Below are 19284 nucleotides of genomic sequence, written 5' to 3'. Positions count from 1 at the left end.
TCGATGTCTCCCCATAGCCTATGGCAGTGGTTCTCAACCAGGGGCCATTTTGTTCCCGACAGATTTGGCAATGTCTGGAAACAGTTTTGGTGGTCACAACCAGGGAGTGATACTGACATCTAGTGGTCAGAGGCCAGCAATGCTGCTAAATATCCTACGACGCACACACAGACCCTCACGGACAAAGAATAACTCTACCTCAAAATGTCAATAGTGCGAAGATTGAGAAATCCTGGCGTAGAGTATCAAGACCAAGTTATTTCAGACCTAACTGACATTTTCAGCCTAAACAATCATCACTGTTCTCTACAAGGCCAAACTGGTATCTCTGGTTTCTTCACTGTTCTTGAATATATCATATACTTTCCTGCCTTTGTGTCTGTTCATCGTTTTTAGCCAAATCCTGGCTACTCTTTCAAGGCAAGTACAAATCCCCACTTCAGTGAAACCATTCATTTTCTCATTCGACAAAGGGCAAACAAATGAACTTCCAATAGCCAAGCACACCAAAAACAAAAGTAAACCCAAACAAATAAAGGCCATGGTTTCTACCATCAAGTAGTTCACAGTGTACAGGGGATAAACACATGGAACTAAATAATTGCAATATCAACAGTAAATAGCATGATCATGGAATATACAAAATGCACAAAGAAGCAACTGAGTGTGCAAGTGGGTAGGGAATGTCTGGTAAGGCCTCAGAGATGAGAAAGGGTAAATGATAAATAGAATAGTGCCAGGTAGAAAAGAGAGATGGGCATTCCCTGCTACCAGTAGCAGTCCTCTGTAATTTATTCTCAACATGACAGCCAGAGTGTTCTTTCTGAAATGCAAATTAGACATTGCCATCTTTCTGTTGTTAAAAAACAAAACAAAACAAAACAAACTACCACGAACAAAGAGCTATCATAAGCTTCCATGCCTACGACATACCCGGCCTGTCCCGCCAAACCTGTCACTTGCCATCCTCCCCTCACAATGCACACTGTACTATAGCTACACGGTCTTTTATTTTTCTGTCCTTCAAACATGCTGATGTAAGGTGTTTACACCTACTGTGATATTCTGTTATCCTTTTACACGACTTTACCCCCTAAGGTTGTCTTCCTCTCATCCTTTCAGCTTGAAATGCTATTTCCCCCAATAGGCCTTCCCTGACAACTCTATGTAGAATACACTCCTGGTCATGTTGGATCTCATTAACCTGCTCTTTTCTTCATGGCACTCACTTATAATCTCTCTACCACAACTAGAAAAGGTATGCTGTCTAAACTGTTCCCCATTTGATTCATAGCATCCAGAACAATGTCTGGCCCATACTACATGGTCAATAAATATTTGGTGACTTACTGAATAAATGAATAAAATAAGAAAGTAGGCCGGGCGCGGCAGCTCACACCTGTAATCCCAGCACTTTGGGAGGCTGAGGTAGGCGGATTACTTGAACTCAGGAGTTCGAGACCAGCCTGGCCAACATGGTGAAACCCTGTCTCTACTAAAAATACAAAAATTAGCCAGGCATATTGGTGCATGCCTGTAATCCCAGCTACTTGGGAGGCTGAGGCAGGAGAATAGCTTGAACCCGGGAGGCAGAGGTTGCAGTGAGCTGAGTTCATACCATTGCACTCCAGCCTGGGCAACAGAGTGAGACTCTGTCTCCAAAAAAAAAAAGACAGGAGCCCTCTAGTCTACAGTAGTTCCTCAGTTCACCGAACCCTCAGCACTTGTGCCCTGTATCACATACTGGACATTTAATCATATATTGCTTTGAACTATTAATTGTATTATTGACAGACTGTCATTTAACTTATGTATGTCCTGTCTCTTCAGTTAGACTGTAAGTTCCCCTATGGACAATAACCCTAAATTATTCTTCTCTGTAAGCCTCAAAGAGCTAGGAAAATACTAAATATATAACAAGAGCTCAACAAGTGGATGGTAAATGAATTCTTGAAACAATGTCATTTATAGGAACAAGAGATAGCAAGGTGTGGTAGAAAGAACATGGGACTTGTCATAGTCTCACCCCAGTTCTGCTACTAACCAGTTGAATGTCTACAGGCAAGTCACCTCTACTTGGGCCCCAGCTTCCTCATCTGTTAAAAAAAAAAAAAAAAAAAAAAGTCTTGGCCGGGCATGGTGGCTCACACCTGTAATGCCAGCACTTTAGGAGGCCCAGGTGGGCGGATCACCTGAGGTGAGGAGTTCAAGACCAGCCTGGCCAACATGGCAAAACCCCATCTCTACTAAAAAATACAAAAAAAAAAAAAAAATTAGCTGGGCATGGTGGCGGGCGCCTGTAGTCCCAGCTACTCGGGAGGCTGAGGCAGGAGAATTACTTTAACCCAGGAGGCGGAGGTTGCAGTGAGCTGAGATTACGCCACTGCACTCCAGCCTGGGCGACAGAGTGAGACCCTGTCTCAAAAAAAGAAAGAAAGAAAAAAAGTCTTAAGAATCCTTTTCAGCACTAAGGTTATATAGAGGAGCTTGGCTATTTCTGAAATCACATGGTATTTCATTGACTACCACTAGAGGGAGAGCGTAGGTCACATAAATACCAGAAATTCCACATCTTCAGAAAAACAAATACGAGAACTTTTCTATTTTAAGAATACCCGTATATATGAAAATGATGTTCTTTTCCATTCCACTTGATTGAAACTTTTATAAAACTTTCCCATGTGAAGAACAAACCTTAACAAAGCATTCATACATATTGAAGTCCTAGATATTTACCTGAGGAAAGGATTTAAAAGTTAGATGATTATCATACTTTTTTCTTTTTTTTTTTTTTTTGAGACAGGGTCTCGCTGTGGCCCAGGCTGGAGTACAGTGGCATGATCACAGTTTACTGGAGACTCAACCTCCCAGGCTCAAACGATCCTCCCACCTCAGCCTCCTAAGTAGCTGAGATTACAGGTGTGTGCCACTATGCCCGGCTAATTTTTGTATTTTTTTATAGAGATGGGTTTCACCATGTTGATCAGGCTGGTCTCGAACTCCTGGGCTCAAGCAATCTGCCTGCCTGGGCCTCCCAAGGTGCTGGGATTACAGGCATGAGCCATTGCACCTGGCCTATTATACGTCTTAATGATAGTTAAGAACATATAGCCATATAGCCACCACTTATTGACTGTCTCCCTTCTACTCTTCCAACAGTGTGTTTTCTATATGGTAAGCAGAATGACACTTTAAAAACCAAAGTCACATCATGTCACACTTCTGTCCAAAGCTCCATATTCCTATCTCACTCGGAGTAAATTCAAACTCCTCGCCATGGCTTATGAAGCCTTACTCGACAAGCTCCCAGCAACCTCCCCAAGGTAATGTCCTATCACTCTGTGTCCCAGCCACACTGGGATTCTTGCTGTTCCCCAAACACACCAAGCCAAGCTCCTCGGGGCCTTTGTACTTGCTGTTCCCAGCTCTCCCCGAGAAATCCACATGGCTGGCACTCTCATTTCCTTTAGGTCTCTGCTCAAATGTGCCTTTACTAGAGAGATTTTCTCTGGCCACTTTAAAACAGGGACCCCTTGTAAATCCCTGCTCCCCTTCATTGTGCTGGTTTTCTTTATAACAGTTATTACCATATGAGATGACGTATATATTTATTAACTTATGTGTTTATTGTCTGTCTCAACAAGTAAGCTCTTTGACAATAGGGATATTATTTGTTTTCTCCACTTAAATTTCCAATGCTTAGAATGATGCCTGGCCCATAGGAAGCACTAAAGAAATAAGTGTGGCATGAACGATTACTATCCGGCAGATGCCCTAATCTTTTTCTTTTTTCTTTTTTTTTTTTTTTAAAAAAAAAGAAAACAAACCAGAATCTCGCTGTCACCCAGGCTGGCACAATCTCAGCTCACTGCAACCTCCGCCTCCCAGGTTCAAGCGATTCTCCTGCCTCAGCCTCCTGAGTAGCTGGGATTACAGGCGTATGCCACCACGTCTGGCTGATTTTTGTATTCTTAGTAGAGACGGGGTTTCGCCATGATGGTCAGGCCGGTCTTGAACTCCTGAGCTCAAGCAATCTCCTGCCTCGGCCTCCCAAAGTGCTGGGATTATAGGCGTGAAGCACCATGCCCAGCTCCATCATCTCATTTAAGTCTCACAACCACCCTACAAGATGGGCACTATTGTTATCCTCACATGACAGATGAAGAAACAAAGGCTCAGAGAAGTAACTTGGTCATGGTCAGTTACAGAGCTAGTAAGTGACATGTGGGATACAAGCTCAGTTTATGATTCCAGAACCCATATATTTGATCTCATCTCATACTACCTCTCTGAAAGAAATGAACATTTTTGTTTCCTGAGTATATCATTAAGTAATAGCATATGTCCAAAGGTAAATCCTAAAGATGTTTCATTTAAAATAATATTTCCTCAGACTTGCTATAGCTATCTTACTAAAGGAACAATTAAAAGAAGAGAGCCACTGTCAGGCAAATTATGATATGCACTGTAGTCCTAGCACACAGGGAAAAAACCAAGTGTTAGGTCCTCTATACATGTGGTAAGATACAATATGCCAACATGCATAAAATATGTGTCTTTCATTAGCTAGCCCCTTTGTTAGTCTATCACCCATGGACACAAGAACAATTTCACATTTCATTCCAAGTCAAAGTGATTCCATTCCTCCTGGCCCTTTCCCCCACAGCATCCTCCACCTTTATTGGGCAGTCAGCAGGAAGAGAAAGCCCCTGAAAAATCAATTTATGGACCTGAAATAAACATTTTCATGAGAGTTTCAAAAATATGATGCTGCATTGTGGCTATTACATTTTCTTCCTAATGTTGCCACTCTGCTGTCTGCTTCTAAACAGCCACATGATGGAAAAATACATCATAGAAAGTATTCTCTTGAGGAAATACAGCCAAAAATATTTTAAACTGTCTGTTTGCTTTTTTTTTTCACACCAAAATGTGGCAACAGAAAGACATGAAAAACAAACGTTTTGCAGAAAGCTGCTGTTCATTTACCTTTAAATATTTAATGAGCTCCCCTGGAACTTCTTTCGAGCCTGACTGAATCAGCTGGCAATGATGGAAGAATTTGTGCACATGCAGATCCTGGAACACAGATGGAAACAGCCATATGAAATTTGATTCATTATCCTCAAATGCAAGCTCTCTACCTCTCCCTCCTCCTGTATCTTGCAGACCTATTTATCCGGTATTCTAATGCCCAGGCTCAGCAGCTCTTGACCACTATACAAAGCAGCAAAACCAGGTAAATCTGCCATGTACACAAGCACATGGGGTAGGCCACCATTTATGCCCAACTAGCTAAAGATTCATTTGATTCCGACTTTGACTAGTGTGTTCTATGAAGTTGGGCTGCTTCTCCATTTTAATGAAATAAGCAGGAATAAAGGTATGAACTGAAAAAGATACAGATAAATAAATAATAAAGATGTGAACTGATAAAGAAAAGATAGCAGCAGGAAGTTAGCAGAACAATAGTCTCAGGCATTCAGTACCCAAATTTACCATGGCACTTCACTGGCAAGGGAGTCCAACTGTCCTATGTGGAACCCATATACACTGATTCTGTAGACAGCATGGACTACATCAGGAACCAGAATAATGAAATGTGTGTTTTGACCTGATTCCCCTGATTACTACTCTGTGACCTTGGGTAAGTCACCTAACCTGCCTGAGCCTCAGTTTCCTCACCTATAAAATGGAGATGATGGCTTCCACATTCCTTTCAGAGTTCTGTGAGGCTCAAATCAGTTAATGAGAATTAAAAGATCATGTAATTTGAGAGGAATTATAATATTTGAGATAGAATGACTGTTTTTTTTTTTTTTTAAGAGACAGGGTCTTACTCTGTCTTCCAGGCAAGAGTGCAGTGGCGCAATCATAGTTCACTGCAGCTTTGAACTCCTGAGCTCAAGCAATCCTCCTGCCTTAGCCTCCCAAAGTACTGAGATTACAGGCATGAGCCACTGCACCTGGACAGATGTTATTACTAATGAGAAAATCTTGCAGGTCACATATTCTCTAAGGCTGTAGGAATCAAATGTGGTCTATTTTAATCAAACAAACTCAAGTATAAAAATTGACAAAATTCAAATGATGCAACTTACTTGAGTGTAAATGGTAGATTCTAAGTGGCTTTTAATCTTCAACAAAGGCTTTGCACCATCTACCCATTTAATATCCACGTTACATTGCTGTGAACAGAAAATTGAGATTCTATAACATAATAATGGATAGATGAATAACATATAATACCTTTATGCATTTAAACATTTTTTTCAGAAATGAATGTATTAATTTCATACCAAGAGATTACTGGAGAAAATACCCTGCCTTTAGAATAAATGTATCATAAATCATTTTACATTTCCAATCCTTTGCAGACTATTTTTATAAATTATGATAAAATGAATTACTTAAATAATTTTTTAAAATTATGCACAAAATCTGAGCCCCACTAAAAAAATTATTAAAATCAACAGACATAAAATTACTTTGTCAAACTGCTATAAATTCTAAACATGCACATTCCATGTTTATCTTTGTTGTGGACCCGCACCAGCCCTCAGACCCCACTTTGAGTAACATTGTACTAAACAATCGAGACCAACAGAATTCTATTTTTTGCACATTTAATCATGATTACTTCAACAAATGCAGTATTTTCCTACCCTTCTTGATTCTGCATCATTCAGATTCAAGTAGCCTGGGGGAAGATTGGCGGAAACTGGCAGCTGCTGCTCAAATGTGATGATTCTACCATCTTTCAGCAAAGGTACCCAGGCAAACCCAACTGCCAAGATAATAACAAACTGTGAGAAATGAAATATCAAATGCAATCAGCTACACAAATGGCTGACTGCTAGGGGGCAGGGCAGGGTGGTGATGTCTCCAGGGATCTGTATGTGGGAGTTCAGGTGCTGGGCAACTGAGTACTGGGGAAGGAACAATGGGTTTGGATCGACTCTGAATCCCAGCCTGGCCACTAACAAGTTATGTACTCTATTTCTTTGACCATAAAAATGGGAACAGCAACATGGCCTTTCCATCTACAAGAATTATTGAGAAACCTAGAGTGAGATTATATGAAAACATTTTAAACCTTTAAAAGCGCATCGATACCATTATCTTTATGCTTTGGGAAATATTTTTGGTGGATTTATTTTCAAAAGGCTCAGATAGTTCTCATCCATTCTTACACTAAGAGTGCAGAGTCTCACGGCTGAGACTATTTCAGATAACAATCACATGTTCCAAAATTTCTTATGGCAACCCTAGGGTAAGGAACTATGGAAAATTAAGGTCACAAAGTCACGGCTACACTCCATATTTATACAAGGCAGTAGGCATAAATCATTTAGTTAGGCAGACTTGTCCTGATTACAGAAGGAAGAGGTGTAGGTGTAGGTAGGAGAATGCAGGCAGGAAATAGTGTTTATGACTTGAATCCATCAAGAGATTTTCCCCAATCTCTACATTTCTTAACAGTTCTCCCCAAAAGAGCCTTTTGGCTTTCAATTAGAAAACTCATCATGTTCTAGCTAAAAAAGCCAGAGCCATCTGTGTTACTCAAGTTGAGTGGTGTCAGTATTTCCATTATAGAAATTACTCTGGGATTCAAGTGTTTATAACTCAGCTGTAAAAAAGCTTGCTCTGGACTGAGTTTTGGCATATGAGAGAGGGTATTGGCTGGAGAACATTTTTTAAAGCTACTGCTTTCTGATTCTTTAAAATTATTTGTGACTCTGTGTGTGAGTGTGTGTGTGATACTGTGAACACAGAAGTCAACACAAATCTGGTTAGAATGTTTTCATTTATGTGTTTAATTTGGCAAATGCTTTAATTCTTAAAAGGAGACTAAAACATTGCTTCTCTAAGTAGACTAAATGGCTTTCTCAGACTCCGAAATGTGCCTGACGGGCATCTTTACTAGTTCAACTACAGAAATGCTTTACCCAGACCTTTTCTTTTATAAAAAGCAGAGGAAAGTAACATGAGCAGAAGAACCATTAGAAATGACTCTGTCAAAGTAGTTAAACTAAAAATTTGACAAATGAGAAAAGATTTCCAGCCCAGAAAATAGGAAAATGAAAGGAAAATCTATTTCTTGTTCTTAAGCAACATTTTTAAATAGAAATTTTTATTGAGACCTCATTCAGATATACCACACAATTCATCTATTTAAAGTGTACATATAGTGGTCTTTAGTATATTTGCAAAGTTGTATCTCCATGACCACCACTTAATTCCAGAACTTTTCATCACCCCCAAAATAAATCCCATAGCCCTTAGAAGTCACTCCCCATTTCCCTCTCCTCCCAGCCCCTGGCAACCGATAGTCTACTTTCTGTCTCTGTGGGATTGCTTAGGCAACATTTTTGTACTGTAAATGAATCAGAGCACGACCAAGCGTTTCCCCTATTCAAAACTCATAGAGAGCACTTGGAAGCTATAAAGGTACAATGTCAAGCACACCATCTGGCTCAAAGGTGGGAAGCCACTTAAAGAATGCACAGTTCAAAGTGATGAGTGGCACACGGAATAACTGTTTCATGCTCCGCTGAGCATCTTGTCCACTTCTGTCTAGGATTTGGATAATGAATCAGTAATTTAGCTTTCAGGATGTACACATGGTCATGGGTTCTCATCGTTCTGCCAGTTTTCTTCTCAATCCTCAAAGCCCCTACCCTGAACTAACGGCAATTTCTATGGGGATAAAGAACATATCCATACTACCTGCAAAGGGAACTCCCTCATATTCAGTCCTGCTGCCTGCTGGGTATCACTCCAATGTCTCACTAGCACCTAAAACTCAACTGATGTCCCAAACCTGCCATCCCTACCCACAGTTTTGCTATTGGCAATACCTTCTTTCCAATCACCCAGTTTTGAAACTTCATTGCTAACTAAATCATCTCTCTAATAGCCAATCACTTTCCAGGTCCAATATGTTCTTCTTCTGCACTTCCCTTTCTCTCTGCCCCCGCTGCTACTGCCATAGTGTGGCCTCTTCCTTTCCTGGACTTTTGAAATAACCCTCTAACTGGTGTTCCTTTCTTCCTCTTCCTGCTTCTACTTGCCTTGCCCATTATACTGCTGCCTGGTTGGTTTTCCTGAAAAACTGCTCTAATGTTTAAAACCCTCCAATAGTTCTACTGTGGTGATAGAATAAAATAAAATCTATAGCCTGGTATTCAAGGCTTTCCAAAATCTGATGCCTCCTGTTCAACCTGACATCCTATGATCCCCCTCCTAGCACCCTGTGCTCCAGGCTTAGTGAACTACTTGTGGTTTCCTGTCCATGCCTCTTGATACTCTGCCTCTGTACAAGCTGTTCCTTCACCCCATAATCCCCTACATTCCTGCCATTGTTGCATTATCAAACCCCACCCAACCCTTTAAGGCCTCACTCAAACACCATCTCCTAGAAGCCTTCTCTGATTCTCAGCCACTCGTCTCTCCACCAGCTGAATAACTCGCTCTTCTGAGTTCACGTAGCACTACTTTCTTAAACACCACTTTCTATCTTGTATTATAATTGTTTACGCAGGACTCATTTCCCTTACTAGATCATATCCTCACTGAAGATGAGATCTGTGTTTGATTCTCCACTGTATTCTCCAAAGTGCCTACTACAATATCTTGTACATAATACAGTTTGAGTATCCCTTATCTGAAATTTTTAGGAACAGAAGTGTTTCAAATTTCTGATTTTTTCAGATTTTTTCAGAATATTTGCATAATACCAGTTGATATCTCAAATCCAAAAATCCAAAATATGAAATGTTCCAATAAGCATTTCCCTTGAAGATCTTGTCAGTGCTCAAAAAGTTTCCAATTTTGGAGCATTTTGGACTTGGGGATTTGGGATGCTCAACCTGTATGCAGAAATATTTGCTGAATGAATGAATGAGTGAATAATACAGACTAGCTGGGATCTGAATCTTAGGACATGCTGATGTTCGTAAAGTGCTTGTGATACAAGCTGTGTTCACAAGGCCTTCTATTTCTGCTAAGGGTGCTACCCATTGGTTTACGTAAAGCCTTGCTGAATGGGCCCATGACGAGAGCTTCACTGCTGAAGCTTATTCAAGTTTGTTAAATCAGTTATCTTCTCATTAGAACTAGTCAGCCCCCAACCTCCCTCTGGCTCACAGATGTCCCTGGCTCTGGGCTCACTTCCCTCTTCCTCAGTGAGCAGAACTGGAAAATTCTGGTTGCTGGGCAATTCTACATAAAAGAAATAACAAAAATACTGTATCGCAATATGTGTTTCTTTTTGAGAATAGCAATATTACTTTATGTTGCTTATAGTAGTCTAAGCACATTGGCAAGCATATGGACAATGATATTTGGTAGAAATACTAAAATGAACATATAATATGCATTTTACCAATGAACTTTTAAAATCAGAAATGTGCTTGATATGGTTTGGCTGTGTCCCAACCCAAATCTCAATGTGAATTGTATCTCCCAGAATTCCCAGGTGTTGTAGGAGGGACCCAGGGGGAGGTAATTGAATCATGGGGGCCGCTCTTTCCTGTGCTATTCTTGTGATAATGAATAAGTCTCACGAGATCTGGTGGGTTTATCAGGGGTTTCTGCTTTTGCTTCTTCCTCATTTTTCTCTTGCTGCTGCCAAGAAGTGCCTTTCACCTCTTGCTATGATTCTGAGGCCTCCTCAGCCATGTGGAAGTGTAAGGTTCAATTAAACTTCTTTTTCTTCCCAGTCTCTGGTACGTCTTTATCAGCAGCATGAAAATGAACTAATACAGTGGTTTTTGGTCAAGGGGAGAAGTGGTCTATAGCTTGGTGAAAAGAGGTTATACCCTGGACAGTTCCATTTCAAATAACTGTAGAGAGAGACATTTAAAGAGAACACGTACCTGGAGTTTCAACTGTGTCTTGCTTTTTGGTTGTTCCCTTTGTGTTAATTTCACAACTTACATGATAAAAAGTGAAAAGCAAATGATGTTTTTGATGTAGGTGAATGGGAAGCTCAATTTTAATCTGAAATGAAAGCAAAATTACACATGGAACTTCGTTTTCTCAAGCTGAAACTGTCAGACATTAGTTCAGTTTCATCATACTGCTCCAAAAATACTTCCTAAAGGACTGGCCAAGTGGCCAAATAGTAGGTATCATTTAAATATATTCCAAATGCTTTTCTGGTCAGTTTCAATTTGACAGCAATATTCTGAGTTGTGAGAGTTGATTTATTACTTTTGCTGGAGAGTACAATGGATTCTCCTGGATTCAATTTTGCAGCAGAATTTTCTAAAACACTAAGTCAAAACTACATCATCACAGCCCAGGGATACTATGCAACTCAATCTGCATCAATGAATGCAACCCATTTAAAATGTACACTGAATCTGAAAAACAACTTTTTTTCTAAGTTGTTGCTCTCTTTTGCATGAAAAAATTAAGCCATTACAAATAAATATGCAAAAAGTAACGATGGTCTTATAGTATCCACAAATTATAGTTTATAGAAATTTCTCTAGAAGAAAAACACAACTTTGCTCTTAAAGATGAAAATTATCAGCCATGACATACAAACTTAGTTAAAAATTAATGGTTGTAATAAAGTATCACAAGTAATTTTCTAATCAGATCCCAACCGAATGTTTGTAATGCCTCCTGGAAGTATGTAAGAGACAAATTACAGATTTAAATGATTTGATGCACATGCATGTACCCACAAAGGTACACGTGCAAATATTCTCTCTGTCTCTCTCAGTCAATATACAGTGAATGATTGAAAGCATGTTCATTGACACTTCTCAAAAGAAGACATTTATGCAGCCAAAAAACACATGAAAAAATGCTCATCATCACTGGCCATCAGAGAAATGCAAATCAAAACCACAATGAGATACCAACTCACACCAGTTAGAGTGGCAATCATTAAAAAGTCAGGAAACAACAGGTGCTGGAGAGGATGTGGAGAAATAGGAACACTTTTACACTGTTGGTGGGACTGTAAACTAGTTCAACCATTGTGGAAGTCGGTGAGGTGATTCCTCAGGGATCTAGAGCTAGAAATGCCATTTGACCCAGCCATCCCATTACTGGGTATATACCCAAAGGACTATAAAACATGCTGCTATAAAGACACATGCACATGTATGTTTATTGCGGCACTATTCACAATAGCAAAGACTTGGAACCAACCCAAATGTCCAACAATGATAGACTGGATTAAGAAAATGTGGCACATATACACCATGGAATACTATGCATCCATAAAAAATGATGAGCTCATGTCCTTTGCAGGGACATGGATGAAGCTGGAAACCATCATTCTCAGCAAACTATTGCAAGGACAAAAAACCAAACACCGCATGTTCTCACTCATAGGTGGCAATTGAACAATGAGAACACATGGACACAGGAAGGGGAACATCACACTCTGGGGACTGTTGTGGGGTGGGGGGAGGGGGGAGGGACAGCATTAGGAGATATACCTAATGCTAAATGACGAGTTAATGGGTGCAGCACACCAACATGGCACATGTATACATATGTAACAAACCTGCATGTTGTGCACATGTATCCTAAAACTTAAAGTGTAATAATAATAATAAAAAAGAAAAGAATGATTAGGGAGGAAAAAAGGGGAATATTAAAAAATCAGAGCTATAAAAAAAAAAAGAAAAGCATGTTCATTTTAGGTATCCTAAAAATAATGTGGGTTACTTACTACATGATCAAGTTTTTTGTAGTGACTGATGTTGGTTACAGAGATACACATATTAAACAACTTGGTGATGGACATCTGGTCCAATTATCATTCATACAAAGCATGGTTTTGATGTTATAACTAATGTCCGTTTTAGGTCTATTTCACTACAGAACATGCCTATTCACAGCATCCAGACCATCTGGGTATGTAATGCTCTGCTGCACATAAATATGGGCATACTCCCTCCCTGGGTGGCAAAAATACTATTCCCCTCCCCATCCCCCATGAAACTAGGGACATTGGATTGAGAAGGAAATGAGCAAGGCCTAAGGCTGGGATATAAGGCTTCCATACAACAGCAGGTGGACATGGCAAAATCACCACAGCCGGGGGGATGGTTTCAGACCAAGCCAAGAATGGAGACATGTGGACTGAGAAGCAGGGACAGCAGAACGTCTGGGCTGGGATGCCCATCCAGGTTCCATAGAGACATATAGGAATCAAAAGGAGACTACAGATTTGGATATGCTGGATACATACAGACCAGAAGTGGCTGTGACAGAGATGCTAAGAGACATGCTGGGAAGCACACAGAGATGTAGAGGTGGAGAAGTAGGAAGAAGGAAAGAGGGGCAGAGACAGGGTTTCAAAGGCAGAGACACAATTTGAGAGGCTGAGTCAGGAGGAACCACAGAGGCTCAGAGACCCAACCATACCCCTTTATGTGCTTTGCACCCAAGCATGCAGGCCAGCCAGTGGGATTCTGGTGGCCCAGCTGTATCCCTGTCTTTCCTAGTATTTCAGTTACAGAGAGGCTGCACCCTACTGTGTAAAACCATAAGGGGAAAGAGCTAGAAAGGCATTCTGAAAATCTCTTCTGAATTTCTCATTTTAAAGCTGAGGAAATGGAGACTCTGGAGGGGGAAGTGACTTGATGTTACAGAGCCAGCACTGTCAAAGCTAGGAGGGCTAGAACCCTAGCTCTACTCTCATGTTTGTTTCCTGCATTGTTACCTCAAGTCGAAGAGCCCCTTAAATTGGGGGGTAAATCTTCTACTACCATCAAAAGGCACCAAGCAGGCCAGTAACACTCTGTTTTGTTGTAATATTTTCTGTTTTCATGGAACAAAACACTCAGGGATTGAAAGTGCTGGTAAAATGATGAAAATGATTCAAAGAGAAAAAGAATTCCAACCACTGTGTTTTAGAAATGTCAGGATAATATATTTTTACCTCATCATAGAACTCTGGATTTTGGTTGTGATGCGAGACAACAGCATAAGCATTTGTGGTAAAAACAGACCCTGCAGGTTTTCCATAAATACACTGCAAAAGAAAGAAACAGAGTCACCGCTCTAAATGCAGGTCTGTAAATGTGATGCCATGGAACCACATATAGTTAGAGGCATCTGTGACTATAGGGCCATGGCCAAGCCCACCTGGCAGTCACCGTGAGCCTGTAAATTCCCAATCATTTACACAGTCACTCCAGACACCAAATGAGACACCATGTAACTTGGCTGTATGGATGCTTCTGAATTTCCAGCCATCAAAGAAACACGATCTCAAACTAGTTGACAGTAAGGAGCTGAACAGGCCTACTCATTTGGAAGGGAAATACTTGTCTCAAACCAGGCCTGTAAAGCTTACTTCTCTTATGCTACTTGCATTTCTTAATATGAGAGGCTCCCCCTCAACCAGTCGGCAACATTTGTTGAACGCTCTTTGTGCAGTGGGCAAGGTGAAGCGTGTTTAAAAAGCTCCAGCAGACACATTCCTGGCCTAAAGGAATTAAAAAGTTGAATGTGTATTAAGCTACAGACAAGCTTGCTGTTCTCTCACATTTTTAAATGTGGCACTTTATGAGCCACATTTTAAAATATCAGTGGCTTTCTGTTATACCAATAAAATAAATGTAAGGCTTTCTATGGTTCCAAGGAAAGATCCAATTTCATTTCTAGTGGGATTTTTTCACTTCTATAGGCCTAATAGGCTCAAGGATGAATATGGAGTCAGCATGCCAACGTACTAATTGCCTCATTCTGTTACTTTAGAGTGAGCAATCCAGGCCAGCTAAGAAATGAAATTGAAACTCCATATAAGTGAATATCCAACTCTTCTTAAATATGGTTATGAAGGCAATTTGCAAGAACTGCTGAGAAGTAACCTAAGAGTCATTGGGTCTACAAAAGGATATTGCATGGAGGAAATAGAGCAGTTGTTCTCATCTCCACTGAACAGAGAACCAGAGAAAACATACAGAATTTGAGCCAGCAAATCCTTAATTTAAGTTTCTCTGTATACATAAAAAAAAAAAATCTCTTTTCAAAGGTAGGGGCTATTATTCAATTACTTAGTCAGGGGCATTCCAGCCTGTTTCCCTAGGTGGTTTGAGTGTAAGACCCAGCATCCATCTGTCTGATTTAGGCTGATGCAAGAGAAATGGGGAGCCAAATAAACACTTCTTGCTGGCTAGATGTTCTGACTTCTCTTTCAGGTCCCTGATTGATGGGTTACAGTTATAAAGAGTAAAAATATAAAGGCACTGTGGTGTGACAGGTATTTAAGGATTGCTGTATCAGATAAGACTGAGATTCTGCTTTTCATAGACCACAATCCAAGACTGGAGGCACCATTTGGCCAGTCACGGAGTAGAAGTCGTATCTCAGATCAAAGCAGTCATGCTGTGCTTCTGTCAGCTCAAAGCCTGTTCAGGTTTCAAGGAGAAAGGAGTTTATAGTCCCTTGATGGTACCATTATAAACTATCAGGTCATAAGAAAACGACCTTGCAATTGGGCATTGAAGCAATTGCAAAATCAAAAAGGAGCAAAAGCCAAAACCTGGCATTTTTAAAGCTATATATGCTCCTACTGCATTAATATTTAAACTAAGCCTTATAGTTAATATGTAAGAGTAGAAAAGAAAGTATTACATTTGTCACTTTAGAACATTTTCTTTTTGATGTTGATACAAATTAAACCTAGAGCATAAGACTACTGAGTACCAAAATCTCCATCTCTACTAAAAACATATGCCTATCAATATCATAAACAAACCTTTAGGGCACTAGCGTCACTTTCATCTGAATCCCGGAATTCCACACAGACTGCAATGTTCCTTGCCTAAAATGATTAATCAGTCAAAATGAGTCACACAATTAGCAGATTATAAATAACATTTTATACTCCAAAAATGTATAGTTTACATGGTTACCTTGGCAAATGTTTTCTGGCTATCGTATTTTAATTGCAGGGGATATACATACAGATGGTTTTTGTAAATAGTAAATGGATAACAATATTTTGTCATTTCTGGAACAAACTCTTCAACCTCCACAGTAATATTTTGGCAATTCTTTTCAAAAGGCTTCAAGGGCACATATGAAGAAGTAATACAATCTATAGCAGGGAAAAAAACAGGCAAAGATCATTCAGTTTAATAATCATTAACACATTCCTGCATGTATAAAAAATATACATGAATTGCATTCTCAAAGAGCGATTTAAAAAACATAATTCTTAGTAATTGACCAAAAAAATCACATGACAACTTTAAGAACCCAAAAAGACAAGACTGAGTAGTCTGATGCTGATTTTAGTGGAACCCTTCATACCAGACGTGGAGTGCTATTTCGTTCTCAATGTCGAGTGATTTGCCAAATATAACACATCATAATTTTGACAAATTTAAACTCTGCAAAGAAATCCATTTCATTTTCCCTCCTGTGGCAGCAATTTAGCTTTCACTGCAAATTTTTATTGGTATCAGGGAAATAACGGTAAATTTATGCTTCCAATTAGTTCATGGCAAGTCACTTTTTAAAAGCTAACTTGGTACAGGTGCAAATTTTCACCTAAGAAATAATGGAGGCCTTTTGATCTTACGATGTGTTACCAATGATAAACTCAATACCCCGACCGTGAAAAAATACTAAGCCTCAGAGAAGTTTAGCAGCATATGTTATTGAAATCGTCACTGTAGTAAAGGTTATTCATATACTTAAGGGGCTCTAAGACTGCTGGTCCTTGCTGCAGAGCAGTAATGATGAAGGAAGACCCAGGGAGAGTTGGACCTGAGGATGCTGTATTTTTTGTTGGATTTGCTTTTCTGATTATTACAGTGATACATGCCTATAACAGAGCATCTGGAGGTAGACAGTGAAGGTAGACAAGGACAGTTGCTCATTCCGCCACCCAGAGATAACTACTGTTGAGACTTTGGCATATCTTCTTTTAGTCTTCTATGCATATTGTATATAGTGATATGAAAATCCTACACTATATATAGAACTTTATCCTGATTTTTCGACATTTATCTGATGTCTCATTCCATGAACTCTTTGTAAACATTGCTGTTAATGGCTGCAATAAAGTTTCATGGTATCAGTGTAGCATCATTATCTTAACCACACTGACAGTGTTGGATTCTGATTGTTTCCAATTTTCCTCCAATATAAATAACACTGCAAAGAACATCTTTATGGATCCATTTCTGCCTAGATTTCAAATTGCTTCTTTAGGAAAAAATAATCCATTGTACTCTTAGATGTTTTAAAATATAAAGTGGATGCCACACCTCCATTTACTATTCTTTATTGACTTCTCACTGCATTTAGAATAAAATTCAATTTTTTAAGGCATTACCACAGTCAACACAATTCCTTACATGACCTGATGCTTCCTATTTTATCTCCTATCTCCACTGTTCCCATCACATACTACACTAGAGCTATACTGGATTCCCTTCTGTTCATGCAAACCCAGCTTGGTCTCACCTCAAGGTCTTTACATATATATGTGATGGTCTTTACAACGTATGTGATGCCCTCAGTCTGAAAATGTTCAGTCCCAATCACCACATGCTGGCTCTCTTTCTCCCTCTTCAGTTCCTGAGCTTAAGACAGGTGTTCCCTGGCTACCCTTTTTACAGCTGCCCTTGTGATATGGTTAGGCTTTGTGTCTCCACCCAAATCTCACCATGAATTGTAATCCCCAGGTGTTGAGGGAGAGACCTGGTGGGAGGTGAATGTATCATGGGGCGGTTTCCCCCATGCTGTTCTTGTGATAGTGAGTGAGTTCTCATGAGATCTGATGGTTTTATAAGTGTTTGGAAGTTCCTCTTTCATTCACTATTTATCTCGCCTGCCACCACAAAAGACGTGCCTGCTTCCCCTTCTGCCACGATTTTAAGTTTCCTGAGGCCTCCCCAGCCATACAGAACTGTGAGTCAATTAAACCTCTCTCCTTTATAAATTACCCAGTCTTGGGTAGTATCTTTATAGCCGTGTGAAAAACGGAGTAATACAACTCGTTTGCTTGCATACTATCTGTCACTCCTTCTAGACTTTAAACTCCCTACGTTTAAAGCACCTCGTTGGTAGTCAATAAACGTTTACTCAATAGATAGTTATTCAGTGAATGAATGCATATACTCTCAGAATTGGAATGCCCTACTTATGAACATCTATGGATATCTATTACCAAACTGTACTCCTACTCATGATAGGTGATACCACCTGGCCAAAACCTAGCCAGCATTAGGTAGCTTCACTTTAAACATTTTAATAGATTTGATGGATGAGCAAAAGCATATTGTTTAATTTGCCTTACTGGCATTATTACTAAGATTGAATATTTTTCACATATTTACTAGCTACTTCATTTTATCTCTTGCAAATTGTGTTTTGTGTCTTCTATTTTTCTCCTGGGATCTTGGATTCTTGTCCTTAGACAAGAAAAGAAATCCTTCTCCTTTTTCATCTCTTAGTTGATGACAGAAGTAAAAGTTACCAAAGGCAAAAGGCAATAGAACCTGACTGGGACACACTCACAACTTCGTATATATGAAACAGCATCTGATAAAATCAACTCAATTCACTTCCTAATCTGTAACTATTCATCGTGCATACTGGGTTGAAAAGCATCCACGCCCCCACTCAAAATTCATGTCCACCCGGAACCTCAGAATGTGACTTTATTTAGAAATGGGATATTTGTAGATGCAATTAGTTAAGATGAGGTCATACTAGATTAGATGGGCCTTAAATCCAATGACTGGTGTCCTTATAAGAAGGTCATGTGATGACAGAGGAGAAGTTGGAGTGATGCAGCCACAAGCCAACTGATGCCAAGGTTAGCTGGGAGCTACTGGAAGGCAGGAAGAGGCAAGGAATGGCTCTTCCCTAGAGCATTCAGAGAGAGCATGGCCCTGCAAACACCTTAATTTTGGACTTCTAGCCTCTGGAACTGTGAGAGAATAAATGTTTGTTGTCTTAAGCCACCCAATTTGTAACAGTACTTTGTGCTATGGCAACCCTGGGAAACTAATATGCCACGTAAACCTCAAGAAAAATATTGAAAGGATAACAACCTGACATTCAAACATTATGCTTAAGGTTTATTTGCAATATGTTCTTACTTGATAAATCCACAGGAACACATTCTACTGTGATGTTTAGCTGCCCAGGAATAATCTGCAGTTTGGTCTTTTCTGGCCTGGGTATAAAATAATAATATTTTAGAGTTAAAATTATGATTACTGAATGCACTGGTTACCCTCTATCCAAACTTACAATTTTAATCATTCTGTTTTTCCCATATAT

The 19284-nt window shown here is 39.7% G+C and overlaps 1 protein-coding gene across 6 annotated transcripts in view; it reads right to left on the bottom strand.

Moving 5' to 3' along the window:
* Positions 1–19284, bottom strand: part of DOCK11 (dedicator of cytokinesis 11) — a 190333-nt gene that overhangs the window by 81930 nt on the left and 89119 nt on the right. For all 6 annotated transcript variants that reach the window (XM_005262368.5, NM_144658.4, XM_011531276.4 and 3 more), the window contains 8 exons: positions 19101–19177; positions 15897–16081; positions 15740–15805; positions 13916–14008; positions 10881–11004; positions 6666–6787; positions 6102–6188; positions 4990–5079 (listed from right to left, as the gene is read on the bottom strand). In XM_005262368.5, the coding sequence (XP_005262425.1) occupies positions 4990–5079; positions 6102–6188; positions 6666–6787; positions 10881–11004; positions 13916–14008; positions 15740–15805; positions 15897–16081; positions 19101–19177 (844 nt within the window). The remainder of the gene's footprint in view (positions 1–4989; positions 5080–6101; positions 6189–6665; positions 6788–10880; positions 11005–13915; positions 14009–15739; positions 15806–15896; positions 16082–19100; positions 19178–19284) is intronic.

The sequence above is a fragment of the Homo sapiens genome, chromosome X, assembly GCF_000001405.40.
Source record: "Homo sapiens chromosome X, GRCh38.p14 Primary Assembly".
In the NCBI taxonomy this organism is placed as follows: domain Eukaryota; kingdom Metazoa; phylum Chordata; class Mammalia; order Primates; family Hominidae; genus Homo; species Homo sapiens.
The sequence above is the reverse complement of the archived record's forward strand: the minus strand, read 5'-3'. Positions and strand labels throughout refer to the sequence as shown.